We start from the raw sequence: 22,094 nt of genomic DNA on the forward strand, positions 1-22,094 counted from the left end.
TTCTTTTTATAATTGGTCCCATGGAAAAAGAGTTGTTTTTGTTCAAGTCCGATTTGTGCTAAAGAGGCAGTGGGAAGTCCCGGGAGGTGGGGAGGCAGTAACTGACAAAGCCACATCAAGCCACAGAATGGTGTTTCTTCCCCTTTTTCGAAAAATGAAACCTATCTACGAAACTGTCTCTTATTAAAATAGTTTATGGTTACACATTTTGTAAGAACCCTAGCAACAGAATTAAATTTCCTTTCTAGAAAAGTACATTATCTGGGATCCTTCACCCAAAAGAAAGCCAAAGTCACATATGACTTTAGGAAATTCTGTTTCGTTACTAATCTATAATTTTTAAGAAGTATTATTTCTCAATGGTACTTATAATTTTTAAAAATGTAAATGAAAAAAATTTTCTCGGCCGGGCGCAGTGGCTCACGCCTGTAATCCCAGCACTTTGGGAGGCCGAGGCAGGTGGATCAGGAGGTCAGGAAATCGAGACCATCCTGGCAAACACGGCGAAACCTCGTCTCTCCTAAAAATACAAAAAATTAGCCGGGCGCGGTGGCGGGCGCCTGTGGTCCCAGCTACTCGGGAGGCTGAGGCAGGAGAATGGCGTGAACCCGGGAAGTGGAGCTTGCAGTGAGCCGAGATCGCGCCACTGCACTCCAGCCTGGGCGACAGGGCGAGACTCCGTCTCAAAAGAAAAAAAAAAGAAAAAAGTTTTCCCTCTCCAAATACCGAAGGTCAAAACAATAATACATGGTGTGGGCAAAGTTGTGAAGAAACAAGCACTCTCAAACACTACTGATGAGATTGTAAACATATTTAGAGGGCAATTTCCCAGTATCTCTCAAATACAAATATTCATACCCTTTGACCCAACAATTGTATTTTTTATAAATTTGTCCAAGCTATATGTTTACACTTGTACACAAAGACTTATGTGAAAAGATATTTGTTGCAGCATTGCTTGAGAAAATAAATGACTAGAAAAAATTATATCCATAAATAAGATATTGGCCAAGTAAATGAGAACGTATGCATACTTAAAATCCTATGTAGGTTGTGTGCGGTGGCTCACGCCTGTAATCCTAGCACTTTGGGAGGCCGAGGCAGGTGGATCACTTGAGGTCAGAAGTTTGAGACCAGCCTGGCCAACATGGTGAAACCTTGTCTCTACTAAAAATACAAAACTTAGCCACGCGTGGTGGTGGGCACCTGTAATCCCAGCTACTCGGAGGCTGAGGCATGAGAATCCCTTGAACCCGAGAGGTGGAGGTCACAGTGAGCTGAGATTGTGCCACTGCACTCCAGCCAGGGTGACAGAGCGAGACTCCATCTCAAAAAAAAAAAAAAAGAAAAAAAAAGATCTCTAACATATATTGTTTAGCAAGAACTCATTTTCCAGTTTGTATTTTTAAGGAATATATGTATATACATGCTTATGTAATAGAATATTTCTTTTTAAAATTTTGTATTTTAATTTTTGTAGGTATACAGTAGGTGTATATATTTATGGGGTACATAAGATGTTTCGATACATGCATATGATGCATAATAATTACATCATGAAAAATGGGGTATCCATCCCCTCAAACATTTATCTTTTGTGTTACAAAAAATCTAATTATACTATTTTAGTTATACTAAAATGTAAAATTAAGTTATTATTCACTACAGTATCCCTGTTGTGCTATTAAATACTTTGTCTTATTCATTCTTTCTAACTAGTTTTTGCACCCATTAACCATCCCTACCTGCCCCACCAGCCCTCCACTACCCTTCCCAGCCTCTGGTAACCATGCTTCTACTCTCTATGTGCATGAGTTCAATTGTTTTGATTTTTAGATATCACAAATAAGTGAGAACATGTGATGTTTGACTTTCTGTTTCTGGCTTATTTCACTTAACATAATGACCTCTGGTTCCATCCATGTCGTTGCAAATGACAGGATCTTATTCTTTTTTGTGGCCGAATAGTACTCTATTGTGTATATGTATCACATTTTCTTTATCCATTTATCTGTTGATGGACACTGAAGTTGCTTCCAAATCTTAGCTATGGTGAACAGTGCTGCCACAAACATAGGAGTGCAGATATCTCTTCAATGTACTGATGTCCTTTCTTTTGGGTAGATACCCAGCAGTCCGATTGCTGGATCTTATGGTGGCTCAATTTTTAGTTTTTTGAGGAACCTCCAAAGTGTTCTCCATAGTGGTTGTACTAATTTACATTCCCACCAACAGTGTATGAGAGTTCCCTTTTCTCCCTATCCTCACCAGCATTTGTTATAGCCTTTCTAGAATATTTCTTTTTTTATGCTACACACAAGAAATCAGAAATAAGCAATTGTGTTTCAGGAACAAGACTCATTTTTCATTCTATACCCTTTTGAAATTTCTGTGTGTATGTATTACTTTTTCATTTTAAAAACTAGTATTCTTAAGTCATATTTAACTTTGATTGTACGGCCCAAATGTATTATAATCTATGTCTTTTCTGGAGGACAGACAAGTCTATCTGCAAATGGGTCAGTTCTTCTTGCCCAAAAGCAGAAAAATTAAGGGTTTCAAAATCATTTATCTGGTTTACCCTGACTGCTTCAAGTTAACCAACAAAGAATAAGCCTGCCCAAATCATAACTACTTCACTGTCTTTTTCTACCTAACTCCAATCAAAACTAAGTTCTATGGATACAAAAAACAAAACAAAACAAAACAAAGCAAAACAAAAAACAAAGCTAAGTTCCAAACTCTTAAGAGGTGAACATTTCCACTTAATGGGTTTGATTTTGTTTACTTTTGTTCAACGACTTATCTTAAAATGTCATATATTTTAAAGTATACTAGCATTTTTATTTTTGTTAGTCATGATTTTCTGCATTATTTTTTCATGAAACATTACTTAAATCCACTTTAGAAGGCATGCTCTCATGTATGAGCCATGATAAGGACAGTTTCTCAACTAGTCCTGAATCTGACTTGACCTACCATCACAGGAAACACCAGACTCATTGCCCCAGGGGCAAATTCAGTTACAGTGTAATCTTACAAAATCAGGTTCAGTGATGTCTTCAGGCATTTTTAGCTCATCAAGGATTTAGCTGTGATCAAGAGACCATAGCACCTGTAGGGCCAAACATTGATTTATTTCACTTTAGTGTTGCTTCATCCACAGTCATGAGACACCGTAGAGTAGGTCTTACCTACCTCCAGAAACACTTTATGGTGGGTTACCAAGAACTCGCCTGGAAGTACAATGAAATAACCATTGTGGGGTGATTCCATCTTCTCCACGTTGTCTTAAGTCACACTTACTGTTTTATTCAAATACAATATGCAGAATTTTGATTATGCCCACTCTTGATTTTGTCTCTAAAGTTACCCCTTTGATGGAAAAACCTCCTTTGCAGAAAAAAGATTCTGTAAGGAAAAAATGGGCACTATGCCAAGCTAACCTACTATTTCTACTATTTCTCATTTGATAAAACCTGAGCATACAAAATCAGCTTTAAACAGCTTTTTCTTTACTGGTTAAAATAAAATAGAATTATATCCCTTGTAGCTGAAATCTTATAATATGATTTTCTATTAATCTGCTGAATAGTAGGTAAAAGTTATTGCCTCGATATCTGTGCCTCTAAATGGACATTATTCCTATTATTCAATTACTTTTCCTGCTGTACAAAACACCCTCCAAGTTATTTCCATTATGATAGCATCCCTCCTAGCTCACTCTCAATCCTCACCAGGTTTCCTCCACCCTGGCTACCCTCTATTCACCTCATAGTGCTCCTAGTAGCACTCTAAATTCCACAACAATATGTCTTTCTGTCACATCCTACTTGCCAATTTCCAGTCCCATATAAAACCATTATTGCCTGGCCGGGCACGATGGCTCACACATGTAATCCCAGCACTTTGGGAGGCCAAGATGGGCTGATCACCTGAGGTCAGGAGTTCAAGACCAGCCTGGCCAACATAGTGAAACCCTGTCTCTACTAAAAATACAAAAATTAGCCGGGCATGGTGGCATGCACCTGTAATCCCAGCTACTCGGGAGGAGAATCGCTTGAACCTGGGAGGTGGAGGTTGCAGTGAGCGGAGATCGCGCCATTGCACTCCAACCTGGACAACAGAGCGAGACTCCATCTCAAAAAAAAAAAATCCATTATTGCCTTTCCATAACCAGAGAAAGGTATATATATAAGTATATATTAAGTATATATATATATAAGTATATATTAAGCATATATATATATATATACACACACACACACACACACACAACAGACCAATCACAGATTTATTCCATCAGACTTCAACTATCTCAGGATAAATTATTTGTCTTTCTGAAGCATACTCTCTGACCACTCTCAATACTCAAATGACTCAACTAAACCTATTTTCTCAAAGTTACCAAAGCCCCTTAATCATCAAGTCTAATAGCCTTTATCTCAGCCTATATCCTCTTTGACATTTCTATAGTATTTGACACTGTTCACTATTCCCTTCGCTTTTTCAATAGTTTGTTTCTTTAAAAAAATTATATACATGTTTTTAAAAACTGTAAGTGGTACAAAAATATAGTTTTGCATCATTTAACAACAGGGATACATTCTGAGAAATGCAGCATTTGGTGATTTCATTGTACGAATATCGCAGAGTGTACTTACACAAATCTAGATGGTAGAGCCTAGTGCACACCTACGCTATATGGTGTAGCCTATTGCTCCTAGGCTACAGACCTATACTGCATGTGACTGTACTGAATACTGTAGGCAAATGTAACACAGTGGTAAGTATTTGTGTATCTAAACATACCTAAACATAGAAAAGGTACAGTAGAAATATGGTATAAAAGATGAAAAGTGGTACAGCTGTACAGGGCAATTGCCAAGAATAGAGGATACAGGACTTGAAGTTGCTCTGGGTGAGTAAGTGAGTGAGTGGTGAGTGAATGCAAAGGGCTCGGACATTACTGGGCACTACTGTAGACTTTATAAATACTGTGCAGTTAGGCTACACGTGTTTTATTTTTAAAATAAAATAATTGTTCTATGACATTATGACAGCTATGACGTCATTAGGCAATAGGAATTTTTCAGCTCCATTATAACCTTATAGGACCACTGTCAGGTACACTGTCCATTGTTGACTGAAACGTCGTTATGCGGCACATGACTGTCCAGTGAAAATTAAACCTCTCTTCCTATCTGATCTTTATCTCTCAGATCTCCTCCCCAAAGGCAATTGCTATTGTCAGCTCCTTGTGTATCAATCCAAAAATTATATATATCCTTCTTTGTATACAAATGGTAGGATACTACATGTGCTATTCTCTTACCTTTTTTGTATAATTTTTCACCATTAGTACTTGCTGACTGACCTCATCCTTTTAAATAACTACTTAGACTTCCAGGTTTTGGATGTTCCAACAATAATGTATTTAACAAGTTCTTTATTGATGTAGCCCCACCTTTAGGAAGGTCACCACACCACCACCCAGTTGATATTGTGTCATTGCACACTACTACTTATAATTTTTGGATTCATGCACAAGAAGGTGACAATAGTGATTGCCTCTGGGGAGGAGATCTGAGAGACAAATGTCAGATAGGAAGAGAGGTTTAATTTTCACTAGACAGGGCCGGGCGCGGTGGCTCATGCCTGCAATCCCAGCACTTCGGGAGGCTGAGGCAGGTGGATCATCTAGGTCAGGAGTTCAAGACCTGACTGGCCAACATGGTGAAACCCCATCTCTACTGCAAATACAAAAATTAGCCGGCCATGGTGGCGGGCGCCTGTAATCCTAGCTACTTGAGAGGCTGAGTCAGGAGAATCGCTTGAACTCAGGAGGTGGAGGTTGCAGTGAGCTGAGATGACGCATTGCACTCCAGCCTGGGCAACAAGAGTGAAACTCTATCTCAAAATAATAATAATAATAATAATTTTCACTGTACAGTCATGTGCTGCCTAACGACGTTTTGGTCAACAATAGACCGCATACATGACAGTGTACACCACAGTGGTCCTATAAGGTTATAATGGAGTTGAAAAATTCCTATTGCCTAGTGACATCATAGCTGTCATAACATCAGAAATGCCTCTAAGAAAAGTGAACAAAACAGCCAGGCATGGTGGTTCACGCCTGTAATCCCAGCACTTTGAGAGGCCGAGGTGGGCGGATCACGAGGTCAAGAGATGGAGACCATCCTGGCCAACATGGTGAAACCCCATCTCTACTGAAAATACAAAAATTAGCTGGGCGTGGTGGCGCAGGCCAGTAGTCCCAGCTACTCGGGAGACTGAGGCAGGAGAATCGCTTGAACCCGGGAGGCAGAGGTTGCAGTGAGTGGAGATTGCGCCACTGCACTCCAGCCTGGGTGACAGAGCGAGCCTCTGTCTCAAAAAAAAAAAGAAAAGAAAAGTGAACAAAACAAAAAGTGCTGGTGCCCATATGAGATTACATAATGATATAAAAGTAAAGTTTTTTTCATAATAATGTTTAACATTACATCTTTAAAAACACAACCCTATTATCCCGTATTCACTTTCATAGTTTACCTTAGTAATTTTTATAATCGCTATTGCCTGCAGACACAATTACAGTATTACATATAAGGTATTAATGCACTTCCTCTGCAGAAGATTAATTTTAATTGACGTTCTATAAAAATTAACATGAACATATTAGAATTTAGGAACATGTTACATATCCCATAGGGTAAAATTAATATGACATTTAAAAATTCTTAGTTATACTTAAGTAGGTCTAATTTATACCAAAGAAATCCATAAAGTAAGCTCTAGAGCAATGCTGCTTATCTTGAGGATGGGATGGCAGATTATAACTGCTTTATTAAGTACAACATTCTGAATTTCTATGAAGCTGTAATGGCTTCTTGTGCGCTAGAGATTTTGTTGTTTAGGATGTAATTGATTGTAATGTATACTGTCTGCTCTTGAATAACTCCCATTTTCCAACTCAGAGAGAGTTTCATTTCAGCATCAAATAATATGATTATGGCATTTGTAAAGTTTCTGAAGCATTTTTTAATTTTTTTCAGGTGAAAAATGATTTATAATGAAATATGATATAAGTTAAAGGGGAAATTGAATGTAATCTCCATACGTTTTATTTTAAGGCCACATACAGTACATAGAATAGCTCCTCTTTTTTTGGCCATTACCCTTTAGTTGGCATTATACAGAGTCAGTAAAACAAATACCTGAATGCTGAAGGAATTGGCAGTCTCATGAAATGTTTTGATTTCTGCTTTCTAATTGTCACCCTTTGCTTTTACCTAACATTACCTGCTTTAACAATCTCGCAAAAATCTCTAACACCAAAACTCAAATCTCTATTATTAACTCTAAGGTAAATCAACCCCTGGAAATACTTGACAGAGTTTTTACTACAAGGGCTTGTTTCTTTTAAGCCCGTTTTGACAAACTTCTGCCCCACTTCCCTCGTTTTTATATTTTCCTTTTTTATTTGTTTAATTTTATTATTATGATACTTTAAGTTTTAGGGTACATGTGTACAACGTGCAGTTTTGTTACATATGTATACAAGTGCCATGTTGGTGTGCTGCACCCATTAACTTGTCATTTAGCATTAGGTATATCTCCTAATGCTATCCCTCCCCCCTCCCCCCACCCGTATTTTCCTTTTTTAACCTCTTATCCCTCTCCCCGTCTGATTTTCAGGTTTTGGGACACAGAGACACTTCCTCCTCAAGCCAAGATAATGCTTTATTCCTTCTATCATAAATTGATATTAAAGAGAAAACACTTGCTCTGTTTGATAGTTGAACAACTGAGAATTTTCATTGTACTTATGCTGTGTATTTACCTATTCTTTGAAGCTTGTACAAATGAGTATTTGTATGAACTCTGCCTTGGCCTCATAATAATTTACTTCTGTTAAGACCAGGAGGCCAAAGACTCAACCAAATTTGTACAGAATCTCAGTTTTCATACATTGATTGTTATCCTAAACCCAAGTCTATCATTACCCTTACTGCTGTGTGCCTTTCAAAAGAAGAAAGGAAAAGGGAAAGTTGAATCTGCTGCTATTTCTTCTTGTTGGTGCTTCTGTGTCTTAGTCTGTTTGTATTGTTATAAAGGAATGCCTGAGGCTGGGTAATTTATAAAGAAAAATGGTTGGCTGGGTGCGGTGGCTCACGCCTGTAATCCCAGCACTTTGGGAGGCAGAGGCAGGTGGATCACTTGAGGTCGGGAGTTCGAGACCCGCCTAACCAACATGGAGAAACCCTGTCACCACTAAAAATACAAAAAATTAGCCAGGTATGGTGGTGCATGCCTGTAATCCCAGCTACTCGGGAGGGTGAGGTAGGAGAATCACTTGAACCTGGGAGGTGGAGGTTGCAGTGAGCTGAGATCGCACCATTGCACTCCAGCCTGGGCTACAAGAGCAAAACTCCATCTCAAAAATAAATAAACAAAAGAAAAAAGGTTTATTTGGCTGACAATTCTGATGACTGGAAAGTTCAAGATTGTGCATCTGCATCTGGTGAGGGCCTCAGGCTACTTCCACTCAAGGCAAAGGGGAAGGGTAGCCTGCTGTATAGAGATCACATGGCAAGAGAGGAAGCAACAGAAGGGAGGGAAGTTTCAGGCTCTTTTTAACCACCAGCATTCATAGAACTAATTCCATGAGAACACATGCATTACTGCAAAGATGGCACCAAGTCATTCATGAGGGATCTGCCCCATGACCCAAACATCTCCCACAAGGCTCCACCTCCAACACTGGGGATCAAATTTCAACATAAGGTTTGGGGCAACAAACATGCAAACCATGCCATTCTGCTTCTAGCCCCCAAATAGCACGTCCTTCTCATATTGCAAAATACAATCATTCCATAGCAATAGTCCCCAAAAGTTCTAGCTTGTTCCAGCACCAGTTTAAAAGTTCAAAGTCCAAAGTCTCATCTGAGACTTAAAGTAAGTTCCTTAGAGTTGTGAGCCTGTAAATTCAATAATAAATTATTTACTTCTAAAATTAGTAATTGGGCAAACATTTTCATTCTAAAAGGAAGAAATAGGCCAAAAGAAAAAGGTAACAGGCTCTATAGCAATTCTGAAACCCAGCAGGACAGATATTATATCTTAAAGCTCCAAAATAATCTCCCTTAACTCCATTTCCTACATACTGAGCACATTGGTGGGAGGGTTGGGCTCCCAAAGCCTTGGGAAGCCCCACCCCCATGGCTATTTTGGGTACAGCCCAGGTGGCTGTTCTGATGGACTGGAATTTGGGCTTGTGGCTTTTCCAGGCTGGAGTTGCACACTACTAATGGCTCTATAATTCTGAGATCTGGAGAGTGGCGGCCCTGCTCCTACAGCTCCACTAGGTACAGCTTTTGCATTTTGCATGCCTGCAGACTTAGCACCACATGGATGTCACCAGAGTGTACAGCTTGCATTCTCTGGAGTGTCAGCTGGAGATGTATCTGGGGCCATTTCAGCCATGGCTGGTCCACTCGGAGTGGTCAGGATCTAGGGAGCAGCATCCTGAGGTGGCACAGGGCAGCAATACCCTGACATCTCCCCCAAAACTTTTCTGTCTTTCTAGGCCTCTGAGCCAGTGGATGGGAGGAGCAGCCTCAAAATTTTCTGAAATGCCTTCAGGCCCTATATCCTATTGTATTAAATATTAGCACCTAGCTCCCTTTTAGCCATGCTAATCTCCACAGTGGTTGCTCCACAGTACCCTTAGATTTGTCTCCTGAAAACACTCTTTCTTCATGATCAGACCGTGAATTTTCCAAATTTTGATGTTCGGCTTCTTTTTTTTTTTACTTTAAGGAAATATTTTGTATTGTTATTGTCTTTAATTTTTAATTTTTGTGGGTAGTTAGTAGGCTATATATTTATGGGGTGCAAGAGATAATTTGATATAGATAATAATACAATGTGTAATCACATCAGAGTAAATGGGATGTTCATTCCCTCAAACGTTTATCCTTTGTGTTACAAACAATCTAATTATACTCTTTTAGTTATTTTTAAATGCACAATTAAATTATTATTCACGATAGTCACCCTGTTGTACTAGCAAACACTAGATCTTATTCATTCTTTTTATTTATTTATTTATTTTTGAGACGGAGTCTCGCTCCGTTGCCCAGGCTAGGGTGTAGTGGGCACTCTAACTCACTGTAAACTCTGACTCCTGGGTTCAAGCAGTTCTCCCTGCCTCAGCCTCCTGAGTAGCTGGGATTACAGGTGCCAGCCACCACACCTGGCTAATTTTTGTATTTTTTAGTAGAGACGGGGTTTCACCATGTTGGCGAGGCTGGTCTTAAACTCCTGACCTCAGGTGATCTGCCAACCTCAGCCTCCCAAAGTGCTGGGATTACAGGCATGAGCCACCATACCCAGCCCATTCTTTCTATTTTTTGTAGCCATTAACCACCCCCAACTCCCCCCAACATCACCTTCTTACCCTTCCCAGCCTCTGTTAATCATCCTTCTACTCTTTATGTCCATGAATTCAATTATTTTAATGTTTAGCTCCCACAGCTAAGTGAGAACATGTGATGTTTGTCTTTCTGTGCTTGGCTTCTTTCTTTCTCTCTTTCTTTCTTTCTTTCTTCTTTCTTTTTTTTTTTTTTTTTTTTTTTTGAGATGGACTCTTGCTCTGTCGCCCATGCTGGAGTGCAGTGGCACAATCTTTACTCACTGCAACCTCCGCCTCCCGGCTAATTTTTGTATTTTTTAATAGCGACAGAGCTTCACCATATTGGCCAGGCTAGTCTCGAACTCCTGACTTCATGATCTGCCCGCCTCAGCCTCGCAAAGTGCTGGGATTACAAGCATGAGCCACGCGCCCGGCCTGGCTTATTTCACTTAATATAATGATCTCCAGTTCCATCCATGTTTTTGCAAATAACAAGATCTCATTCTTTTTTATGGCTGAACGGTACTCCATTGTGTGTATGTACCACATTTTCTTTATCCATTCATCTGTTGATGGACAGACACTCAGGTTGCTTCCAAACCTTAGCTATTGTGAACAGTGCTGCAGTAAACATAGGAGTATAGATATCTCTTAGATATACTGATTCCCTTTCTTTGGGGTATATATCTAGCAGTGGGATTGCTGGATCATATGGTAGCTCTATTTTTAGTTTTATGAGGAACCTCTAAACTGCTCTTCGTAACAGTTATACTAATTTGCATTCCCACCAACAGTGTATGAGGGTTCCGTTTTCTCCACACCTCGCCAGCACTTGTTATTTTATCCAATGGTTCTGGATAAAAACCGTTTTAACTGGAGTGAGTTGATATCTCATTATAGTTTTGATTTTTGCTTCTTTTTAAATTATAAATTCCAACTTTAGATCCTTCTTTTGCTGTCATATCTGATCATAAGCTGTTCAAAGCAACGATGCCACTTCTTCAAGGCTTTGCTGCTTAGAAATTTTTTCTTCCAGATACCCCAGGTCATCATTCTTAAATTTAGCCTTCCACAAAGCCATAGAGCACAGGACATAATGCAGCCAAGTTCTTTGCTATGCAGCAAGGGTGACCTTTGCTCCAGTTCCCAATAAGTTCCTCATTTCCATCTGAGACTTTATTTCCATTACCTAGTTTCACAGCTGCTTCCACATTTTCAGGTATTTCTTTATAGAAACAACCCACTCCTTGGTACCCATTTTCTGTCTTTGTCCATTTGCCTTGCTATAAAGGAATATCTGAGGCCAAGTAATTTATAAAGAAAAAAAGGTTTTTTGGCTCATGATTCTGACATCTAGAAAAGTTCACGATCGGGCATCTGCGTCTGGTGAGAGCCTCAGGCTGCTTCTACTCGTGATAGAAGGTGAAGGTGAGCTGATGTGTGCAGAGATCACATGGCAGGAGAGAAAGCAAGAGGTGGGAGGTGCTTTTTAACAACCAGCTGTCACAGAACCCATAGAGTGAGAACTCACTCATTACTGCAGGAATAGCACCAAGTCATTCATAAGGGATCTGCCCCCACAACCCAAACTCTACTAGACCCCCACCTCCAACACTGGGGATCAAATTTCAACATGAGATTTGGAAGGGAGAAACATCCAAAATATGGTACTCTGTAAAGAACTAAATTAAATGAAAAAGACACATTAAACTAATAGGTTAACACTGTATTTTGAGGTAAGATATGGATTCTGTTTTCCTTAGCATCCTTTTCTCTGCATGTTTAGATAATTTGAACTATAACAGAAAGAATGAGCTTGGTAAACCTTCAACTCTAAAGATGATAGTGGGCTCCCCAAACCATCTCTCTCTTCCAACTTGACTGTTTTAGGACAGTGGCTCTCGAGAGCAAAGCTTCCAAGCAGTTTAAATATTGCTCTTTATACAAGCTTTTATGAAAAGTTTAGTTTCTGTCATCAAATAGTTGTTAGAAGTTCAGAGGTTCCTTTGTGAGAGCCAGTTGAACAGTTCTCAGACTTATATTCAGAGGTAAAAGAGCCTAGAAAAATTAAACCTGCATAATCTTGGTGTCCTCTAATCCCACGAGATTGTGCAATTTTGGCATATTTTTTAAGGAAAAGGGACGAGACACTCCAAAGCCAAGTGGTGGGATTTATACACCCCAGAGAAAGTTCCAAATTTTTTACAATTTACATTCTCTTTGGAAAGCTTCTTAGTTTTTATTTCCCCCCTTGATTCTATTTTTATCATGCCATAGCACTGGCTCATGTTAATAAAGACAGTCAGGGACACATGAGTCCTATGGAGGAGAAACTGGAACTTCAGTCCAAGTAACGTTATTTCACAAAGCAATGGAGAAGTGAAATTAGTGCCGTTGAGCCCTTAAGACTCCAGATTTCCTCTCTATGGAGAGGCTTCTGGGGTAGAAATTTTTCATCTCTGTCTCCAACTGACCACATCAAACCCCTCTTTGGGTCCTGTCCCTCTATGAGTAAAATTCAAGCAAATGTATATATCAGATTATAGATCGAAGAGCTAGTTTTGTTTAAGCAACTTCTGTCTATTTACAGGCACACATTTATAACAATAAAGCAATTCCTATTCTTTGTAATTCTTTCCCTTGCTCTGTAACTCCTGGAGGTGAGAAGAACAATGCTTGAGGCTAATGAAAAACATCTTTCAAGATAAATTTTAAATTAATGAATCCCTCTACATTCACATTTAGTAGAAGTCAACTAATTAGTTTCAAAATTTAGAGCAAAAATAAATCCTTTCTATCAAGTCTCTTGAAGGGATTACTACGAAGCATATGACAATGCAAACTTTCTGTTGGGGGCTCATTATCAGAAATTCCCATCAAACAATGAGATAAGAATCTAATCTAATGAGAATCTAATCCAGTAGATGTAAGTGCTTAATTGTACAGATTCATATCAAATTGATTTACAAATCTCTTGGCTTTACTTTAAAATCTCTTAGACTTTAAGTACTCTTACCACAAAAAAAGAAAAGGAAAAAGGTAACTATGAGATGCTAGGTATGTTAATTTGCTTGACTACAGTAATCACTATGTATATGTATATTAAGATCAATATATTAAAACATTATGCTGTACACTTTAAACATATACAATAAGAATGGTCTTTTAAGACAATGCTTCTCAAACTTTGACACGCATATGAATCACCTGGGAATCCTGTTTAAATCCAGATTCAGTAGATCTGGGGTGTGCCCTGACATTCTATATTTCTAACAATCTCCCATGGGATGGCAATGGTGCTCATCTGTGGAGGACTACACTTTGAGTAACAAGGTTTCAAGGCACCTACGTTCTGCATCTTAAGCCTTTATATAGCAAAAGCTCTTATTTGCAGAATGCCTACTATACGTGCATTATAGACTAAAAGGTTTGATTTATGTCATTTAATCCTCAAAATAATCCTATAGAGCATGTTTGATTATTTTTTAAAATAAGAAAAGTTTGGATTTCAGAGAGGCTAATTACTTTGTCCAAAGTCACACAGGAAGTCAGGGCCAGGAATTTGGACCCAGGCTTTTCTGACTCCAAAGCCAGAGGACTATTCTCTATGTATTATATACAACATCTAGTACACAGCGTTTTGAGACAGAGATGAGAAAAACTTCCTACCATTCAGAATCAACAGTACAATGGCAGAAATCAGACAAATATGTAAAAAGATAAATTACAGTTTTTAAAGGTATTGTGCAAGTATCAAAGAAGTATAGATTACTGAGTTAATTAAATAGTAATAGGATAGGAAAGGATAAAATTAATATATTTCTGTACAATTACTTTGGATTAACTCTCATTAATCTACCTCTTGATGGAAGAAGTGGACAACTGTGGGCATTCTAACAACTGCCACATGTAGGTAACAGTGAGGAGGCCGTTGGAACTTTTCTGTGAGTTGGGGCTGGGGAAGGGAGAGGGATTTCCAAAGTCCCTTCAACATCTCCGCTTAAATGATTATGCAATTCAAATTTTGAACTTGTCATTTAAAAATAATTTATATAAATTACCTGCTCGTGGTTTAAAATATATATAATGGTACAGAGCTATAAAGAAAAAAGTCTTCTCCCCTAACTCCCTTATTTCCACTTTCCAAAGGAAAACATTGTTTTCAATTTTATGTGTATCTTTTCTGGAAGAACTAAGTTTTTCTTACAATTTTTACAATTTTCAATGTGAGCCTTGTTGAACACAAGTTACCTTAAAGAAATGTTCCATATAGGCCAGGCTCGGTGACTCACGCCTGTCATCCCAGCACTTTGGGAGGCCGAGGCGGGTGGATCACCTGAGGTCAGGAGTTCAAGACCAGCCTGGCCAACATGGTGAAACCCCATCTCTACTAAAAATACAAAAATTAACCGGGCGTGGTGGTGTGCGCCTATAGTCCCAGTACTGGAGAAGCTGAGACAGGAGAATTGCTTTTGAACCTGGGAGGCGGAGGTTGCAGTGAGCCAAGATCACACCACAGTACTCCAGCCTGGGCAACAAAGTGAGAATCCGTCTCAAAAGAAAAAAAAAGAAATGCTCCATGTAGAATTATAGAATTTTTGTACCTTTTTAACATCGAGATCTAGACTTGATCACTACTTTATTCAATTCAGAAACTACTTATTGAGCATTTATTAAGGGCCAGGTATTAGGCATTTTATACATAAAAACCACTAAGGTTTGATTTCTACCTCCAAAAGGCTCGTAGTTCAGGGACTTCTCTGATCAGGAAAAAAAAAATGACTGTGGTGTTGCAGACAGGAAATTACTATTTAATACTGACAGTGCCTTCTTCCTGTTTCACCAGAAGAGAAAAAGTCGGAATTTGAGGATATATTCTATTCGGGCAAGTTTCACTTCTCAAGTGATTCCCATAAACCCCTTTCTAGTCTGCACTCCAAGGTAATCCATTTGAACCTCTCCTTGGGTCTATTTTCCTTCTTGCAATTCATGAGGACATGTTTTTTTGTATTTACAAAGCTTTTATCTGAATTACAAGATGATCAAGTCAGAAAAACTGGTTCTTTCTGGTCCTCTGACGTAGGTCCCTCTGAACATTTAAGGTGAAGAGTCAGCTGCCCATGCAGAATTCATTCATTTACCCAACTCAAATTCATAAAGTGCCCCCCACAAAACTGTGAAATTTGAGTTGCCTGGACAAGAGACCTTCCACACGAGAATAGTGCCTTGTCAAACAACTAACTACTGTGTCTTTATACTTTCAAAACTTTAAGTTTTAAAGCCATTTCTGCAGCAAAATCTCACATTAAAAGATAGGTTTTAAGGCATATACTCCAAACTTCTGTGGGTCGAATTTAGTTGAATAATGCCTTTGTTAGCAACTAATGAGCCTGTCATCAAGAATGAGGAAGTTGGGAAGAGAAAGGTGGAATGTTTCCCAAATTATCTCATTTTAAGAATCACCTGATGTGCTTATTAAATATGCAGATTTTCTAGGCCCTTCCCCTGGAGATTTGGTTCATTAGATTTGGACCTGGGACTGCCACATTTAACAACTGCCTCAGAAGATTCTTACGATTAGACTACCCTACAGCAATAGTTTTTAACTTTGGATGTACATTAGTAATATCTGGGGAGTTTTTTCGCTGTTTTTTTTTTTTTTTTTTAAACAGGGTCTCACTCTGTCACCCAAGCTGGAGTGCAGTGGTGCAATCACAGCTCACTGCAGCCTCAACCTCCTGGGCTTAAGCGATCATCCTGCCTCAGCCCCACTAGTAGCTGGGAGTACAGGTGCGCCACCTGGTGAGTTTCTAAAAGTACATATATATTAATACCTGGGTTGCAAACACAAATACTCTAATTTATCTGGGTTGGTGCCAAGCATTGGTCATTTTTTAAAGTTCCCTAGGTGATTCTAGTGTTGAGCCATTCTAGTGTTCAGAAATAATGATCTAAAGTAGCAGTTATAAAACGTTTTGGTGTCAGGATTCCTTTACACACTTGAAAATTGTGGAGAGTGGTGCGTGCCTTCAGTCCCAGTTACTTGGGAGGCTGAGGCAGGAGGATTGCTTAAGCCCAGGAGTTCAAGGCTGCAGTGAGCTACGACTACACCTGTGAATAGTCACTGCACTCAACAAGCAAGACCCTGTCTATAAAGAAACAAAACAAGCAAACAAAATTATGGAGAATTTCAAAGAGCTCTTATGTGGGTTATATTGATATTGTCCATAAGCAAAATTAAAACTAAGAAATTTTGAAACATTTATTGGCCCATTTAATAATTATAATAATAGACCCATTATGTGGTAATATAAATAATGTACTTTTGATTTAAAAATTATTTTTCAAAAAAATTAACGAGAAGAGTAGCATCCTTTTCTATTTCTACAAATCTCTTTAACACCTGGCTTATAGAAGACAATTAGTTTCTGCATTTAATCTATTGGGATAAGCTGTTTTGATTGAAGAATTCTACTTGAAGTATATGAAGAAAATCCAGCCTCTCAGAAATATGCTGTTGAAAAAGGAAAGAGTGTGTTAAAAGCTTTTCAGATAACTGTGGATATTCCTCTTGGACACAACACCAAAACTTGACAAGTGACAATTTCTTAAAGGTTGCTTGTAATGTGGAACAGAAAGTATATTATGAACTTCTTGTACTTCATTATATTAAAACCCATTGATCCATCTTATACTTTTAATGCATCATTTACTCATGCAAGATTTTATATCATACATTGGTCATTTGAAAAAATATCAGTTCCCTGAGTTATGCAGCCCTTCCAAATGCTGGCACATTTCCTACTGTATAATATCAAAACATCACATTTGTTAATATCACAACCAGTCTCATCAGGAGAGTCAGTAGGTACTGAGATGCTGTCAAAATCCCAATAGTGGAATAGGTTTTTCAAAATTGTAATATTCATTTGAACACTTGAGTTTCATTGTTGGCCACATATATACTGTCAGTTGTTTTCCTTGAAGTGACAAACAGACTTCATTCATTTTCAAGCAAATGTTTGCCAGATCTCCAAGTCTGAAAAACCATGGTTTGCCAGTTGCTCTTTGGAGTAAAAATAGTGTTTCACGAGAAAAGCCACTAGTTAAGCCATCAACCCAATCACTCAAATGCTTTTCCTGGCGGCATCTATTCTACTTCAGTGTGCAGCGGAAGTGCTTTATGCATGCCTCATATTTCATTGCAGGGAAGTTTTTTAAGTGTACTTGAGTCAAGATTTAATAAAATTAATAATTCTTGCTGTTTCATCAAGGACATTCTTAAATGAGAGAGGCTTTTAAATTTTTTTAAATTTTTTAACTTTATTTTTTATATTATATTATATTTTATTTTATTTTATTGAGATGGAGTCCCACTCTGTCGCCAGGTGGAGTGCAGTGGCACGATCTCTGCTCACTGCAACCTGTGAGTTTAAAACTGTGAGTGTGTGGGGATGAAAAATACAATGACTACTAGTAAAGTTTAGCACCACTGCCTTGATACACGCTAAGGAGTCGGAATTTTGTTTATTGCTTTTGCACCACCAGTGCAATCGTTAATACAGTGAAAAAGGAAAACAGCATCTTGGTATTATTACGAGAATGTTTTGATATGGACTCCCCTGAAATGCCTTGGGAAGCACACTTTGAGAACTGCTGACCTAAAAGAACATAAAGCAGTACTGGTAGGGGAGGCAGGCGGGGCAAGTTTAGCATGCATTTACCTATTTATTGCTGAGATTAGAATATTCACCATACTTGGGTTATTTATTTATTGTCTTAAGATTCACAGTAACATCCACAAACTATATGTTACTATTCCTATTTTACAAATAAATAAATTGAAGCTCAGAAAGGCTAAATAATTTTCTAAGATCAAGCAAGGATCAGGATTTAGATCGAAATATTCCTGATTCTAAGCTTACTCTGTTGCCACTACGCCAAGCTGTTTTCCTTCTATTGAACCGTTTAGGGTGTAAATAACAGATATTAAGGCATATCAAGCATTTATTATGCACTAAAAACAGTTGAACTTTAAATGTATTAACTTATTTAATCATTCCAACAGGCGGGTACCCATATACACCCTATTTTAGAACATAGGGAAACAGAGACCCAAAGAACTTCTCAAGGACACAGCTAGTAACTATGGTGCTAAGATTTTAGCCCAAGAGGAATGGCTTCAAAACCATTTTACTAAAACATCTCCTGGCCAGGCATGGTAGCTCACGCCTGTAATCCCAGCACTTTGGGAAGCTGAGGCGGGTGGATCACCTGAGGTCGGGAGTTCGAGACCAGCCTGACCAACATGGAGAAACCCCATGTCTACTAAAAATACAAAATTAGCCGGGTGTGGTGGCACATGCCTGTAATCCCAGCTACTCGGGAGGCTGAGGCAGGAGAATTGCTTGAACCCGGGAGGCAAAGGTTGCAGTGAGCCGAGATCGCGCCACTGCACTCCAGCCTGGGCAACAAGAGTGAAACTCCATCTCAAAAAACAAAACAAAACAAAACAAAAAAATCCCACAAAATCTCCTAAGTAGAAATAGTAATGAAAAACTCTGAATAAAAAAATTATAATTAAGATACTTGTAATTATTACTTGAATAAAGGAAGTACTTCAATGCTTGAAACAAATACTTTTGCCTATTTGCATCCAAAATGTCATATGATCAAAAGATCTTGGTTTATTTGTTTCATTTCCTCGAGGAGAGACAAAATCATGTGTGGAAAAACCTTAAGTGTGTGGAAATTTTAGCAAGAAGTTAATTCACAGAAATCACTAAGAATAGATTCCTAAAAGGGGTGTAGTTCAGTTTACATTTTCAGATTTTGAGATCAGGATGTCGTGGTCAAGTCTGCAGATGGGAAAGGAATGTGGTCTATGTCACACTGAGCATATGACAGACACCCATCAAAGAACACACCTGCTCCTGGAGAAGACCAGGGCACCGGAAAAATCATGGATCTGACAATAAAACCATTTCCTTCATTTGCCATCACAATAATTAGTCGTCTTGGGGTGTATTTCCTTTTTCTAAAAATAATGGTAGTGGTGTTGTTACTCAATCTTCTAAAATGGGTTTGTGTGTTAACTTCCAAGACAAGAGCTCCTTTTCCTAAATGGAACTCCATTTCTTCAGCCAATGCAAGACTCCTTATCTAGAAAGAAAGGTTATTCATGTTTACTTATGAAAAAGCACACAAAGGCAAACAACTTGGTCCTTCCTGTGTGCTCAGAAATTGCCTCCCTCTGGATCATGCTGGGGTTGGGAAATAGAAGTTCTTCCCTCATCACCTCCCTGTCCCTAACTGTACACCCTGCTGTGGACTCTGACTCTGTTTCCCTGCCACATCTACATCTTTTCTCAGTCTTACTTCCTGAGTCCTGATGGCTCCTTCTTGGCTTTCCCAGGTAAAATTAAGGCGAAGGGGCTCTGCAAGAAGGGAAGGGGCTTTGGGGACAGGAAAACCCTCCCTCAGTGGGCAACAGCATCTACCAGCAAGAAAAAAAAAAAAAAAGAGAAGTGAAAATCCTGTTTTGTAACTAAGGGCTCCAAGCGTTTTAACTGCTGCTGCTTCTTCTCTCTCTCTCTTTCCACTTACCCTCTTCCGCCCACTCTAAGGTTTCAGTCTCTACTCATTCCATCTAAGAACTCCCCAGTGATATAAGTGAAAAAGAAAGGGACAACCAACCTGTCCTTTCCACAGGAACCCTCATTTCCCCAGGCTCATCCACTCCCTCATGCCTACTCCAGCCCCTCAGGCCCAAACCTAATATGGACTTCTCCCTGCTCAGGCCTTCCCACTGTCTATTTGAGTCTCTGTTTCCTAACTCTAGAACTCCAGTCTCTGCCCAGATGGACTCCACTGGAAGCTTGGAACTAAAGGATGTACTCTGCCAGTTAGAGCTGCCTCAAGGGGTCAGGAATCTCTGAAGACATTTCCCCTACGAGCATTGCTACACTTATTGGTTCTCATCCATAGTTTTCTTAGCATAGACTCCACTTGCACTCTGCTTAAGTTAGTTTTTCTGGTACCTTAGAAACCTAACTACGTTTTTATCCACTCACTCATTCGACACATATTTTTTCTGAAGACAGAGATTCTCCTAAGGACTATTTTAGGCATTGTACAAAACAAAACCTCTACTTTCATGAAGAAGACCAATCCTAGATCCAAGTCGAAGACTGTCACTGGAGGAAAGCAGAAATCCCCACCCCAACTCAAGAATTATTACACAAAGGATAACCTGAGCCCCTCGGAAGGTTAGCAGAAGGCCATTCCCTTAGAAAGCAGGGAGTGGCTGTTAATTCTCCAAGATTTTCCACCTCTAGGCAAAGAACAGAGAAGGATTTGTGAAAAGCCAGTGCTCCAACACAGCACTGTGATAGGAAAGATATTGAATGAGGATTCTGGATTCCCTAGGAGAGTCTCAGGGGAGGAGAGGTTGAGTCCTTCCTGGCCTCTATATCAGCCATGGTGAAGAAGCCACCTCAAGCAAGGCCAGAGAAAACAGGCCCCAGACTGGCCTTGAGAGTCGCCTCACATCAGGGCAGCCCTGCTGTGGAGAGAACTGCAAGAGGCAGGAGAATCAAGTAGGACAGAAACTAAGATAGGCTACAAGGATGTACTGTGAAGCATAAACTGGGGATGGCAGCTAGGCAGAAATATCCTCTGTCCACATATACAGAGTAGAACAAAATCAGGGATTCTTAAGGATTTCAATAGTTCTTGCTCATTCTCCATAAATTTCTTTCCCTTCCTATCTCTAGTGGCTGACCTCAGCCACTCCTGTTTTTCCCAGTCTATCCTCCCAGCTAGAACTGAGCAATGCCATCCCCACCATTTCCCAGCTCTAGCCAGTCCCCTACCACCCACTGCATACCTCTTGTTCTTTGCCTAACTGCTGTTCTCTGTGCCTCGTGACATTAGGGGTTCTGAGTGTCATTTAAAATATATTTCCTTCTCTTTGTTTGTTTTAATTAGTCTCACTCAAAAAAAGATGTCTTTCACTTTAATAGTTTTTGCCACCTAGAGAAAACATTGGAAATTTCAGTGAACTGAAATGTAATAGATCTCCAAGATCTAGTATAAGAAAAAAATAAGGTGTTAAATAATGTTTGGAGTCTGCTATTCATTTATGTGGGATATATATATATACACACACACACATATATATACACACATATGTATATACACACATATATATGCATATATATACATATTTGTGTGTATATAAACATATATATGCATATATGTATGCATATACATATATACATATACATATATCTAAATATATATATGTCCTAGATGATTCTCAACTAAGAATTTGGAGTGTGCTATTCATCCCAAATAAATGAATAGCACACTCCACATATATATGAATATATACACATACATATACACACACATATATATAATACGTGTGTCTGTGTGTATATGTTTATATATAATATTTTATATATTTCTTTTTTTTTTTTTTTTTTTTTTTTTGAGACGGAGTCTCGCTCTGTCGCCCAGGCTGGAGTGCAGTGGCGGGATCTCGGCTCACTGCAAGCTCCGCCTCCCGGGTTCACCCCATTCTCCTGCCTCAGCCTCCCAAGTAGCTGGGACTACAGGCGCCCGCCACTACGCCCGGCTAATTTTTTGTATTTTTAGTAGAGACGGGGTT

At 39.1% G+C, this 22,094-nt stretch overlaps 3 annotated features.

Annotated features, from left to right (window-relative positions):
- Nucleotides 1-210: an enhancer, noted in NCBI's record as "active region_29508". NCBI's record gives its function as "activates an Ori minimal core promoter by ATAC-STARR-seq in GM12878 lymphoblastoid cells {active_cell/tissue: GM12878}" and the evidence as "EXISTENCE:reporter gene assay evidence [ECO:0000049][PMID:35858748]".
- Nucleotides 16,060-16,169: a silencer, noted in NCBI's record as "silent region_20724". NCBI's record gives its function as "represses an Ori minimal core promoter by ATAC-STARR-seq in GM12878 lymphoblastoid cells {active_cell/tissue: GM12878}" and the evidence as "EXISTENCE:reporter gene assay evidence [ECO:0000049][PMID:35858748]".
- Nucleotides 19,680-19,729: an enhancer, noted in NCBI's record as "active region_29509". NCBI's record gives its function as "activates an Ori minimal core promoter by ATAC-STARR-seq in GM12878 lymphoblastoid cells {active_cell/tissue: GM12878}" and the evidence as "EXISTENCE:reporter gene assay evidence [ECO:0000049][PMID:35858748]".

The sequence above is a fragment of the Homo sapiens genome, chromosome X (genome assembly GCF_000001405.40).
Source record: "Homo sapiens chromosome X, GRCh38.p14 Primary Assembly".
Classification (NCBI taxonomy): domain Eukaryota; kingdom Metazoa; phylum Chordata; class Mammalia; order Primates; family Hominidae; genus Homo; species Homo sapiens.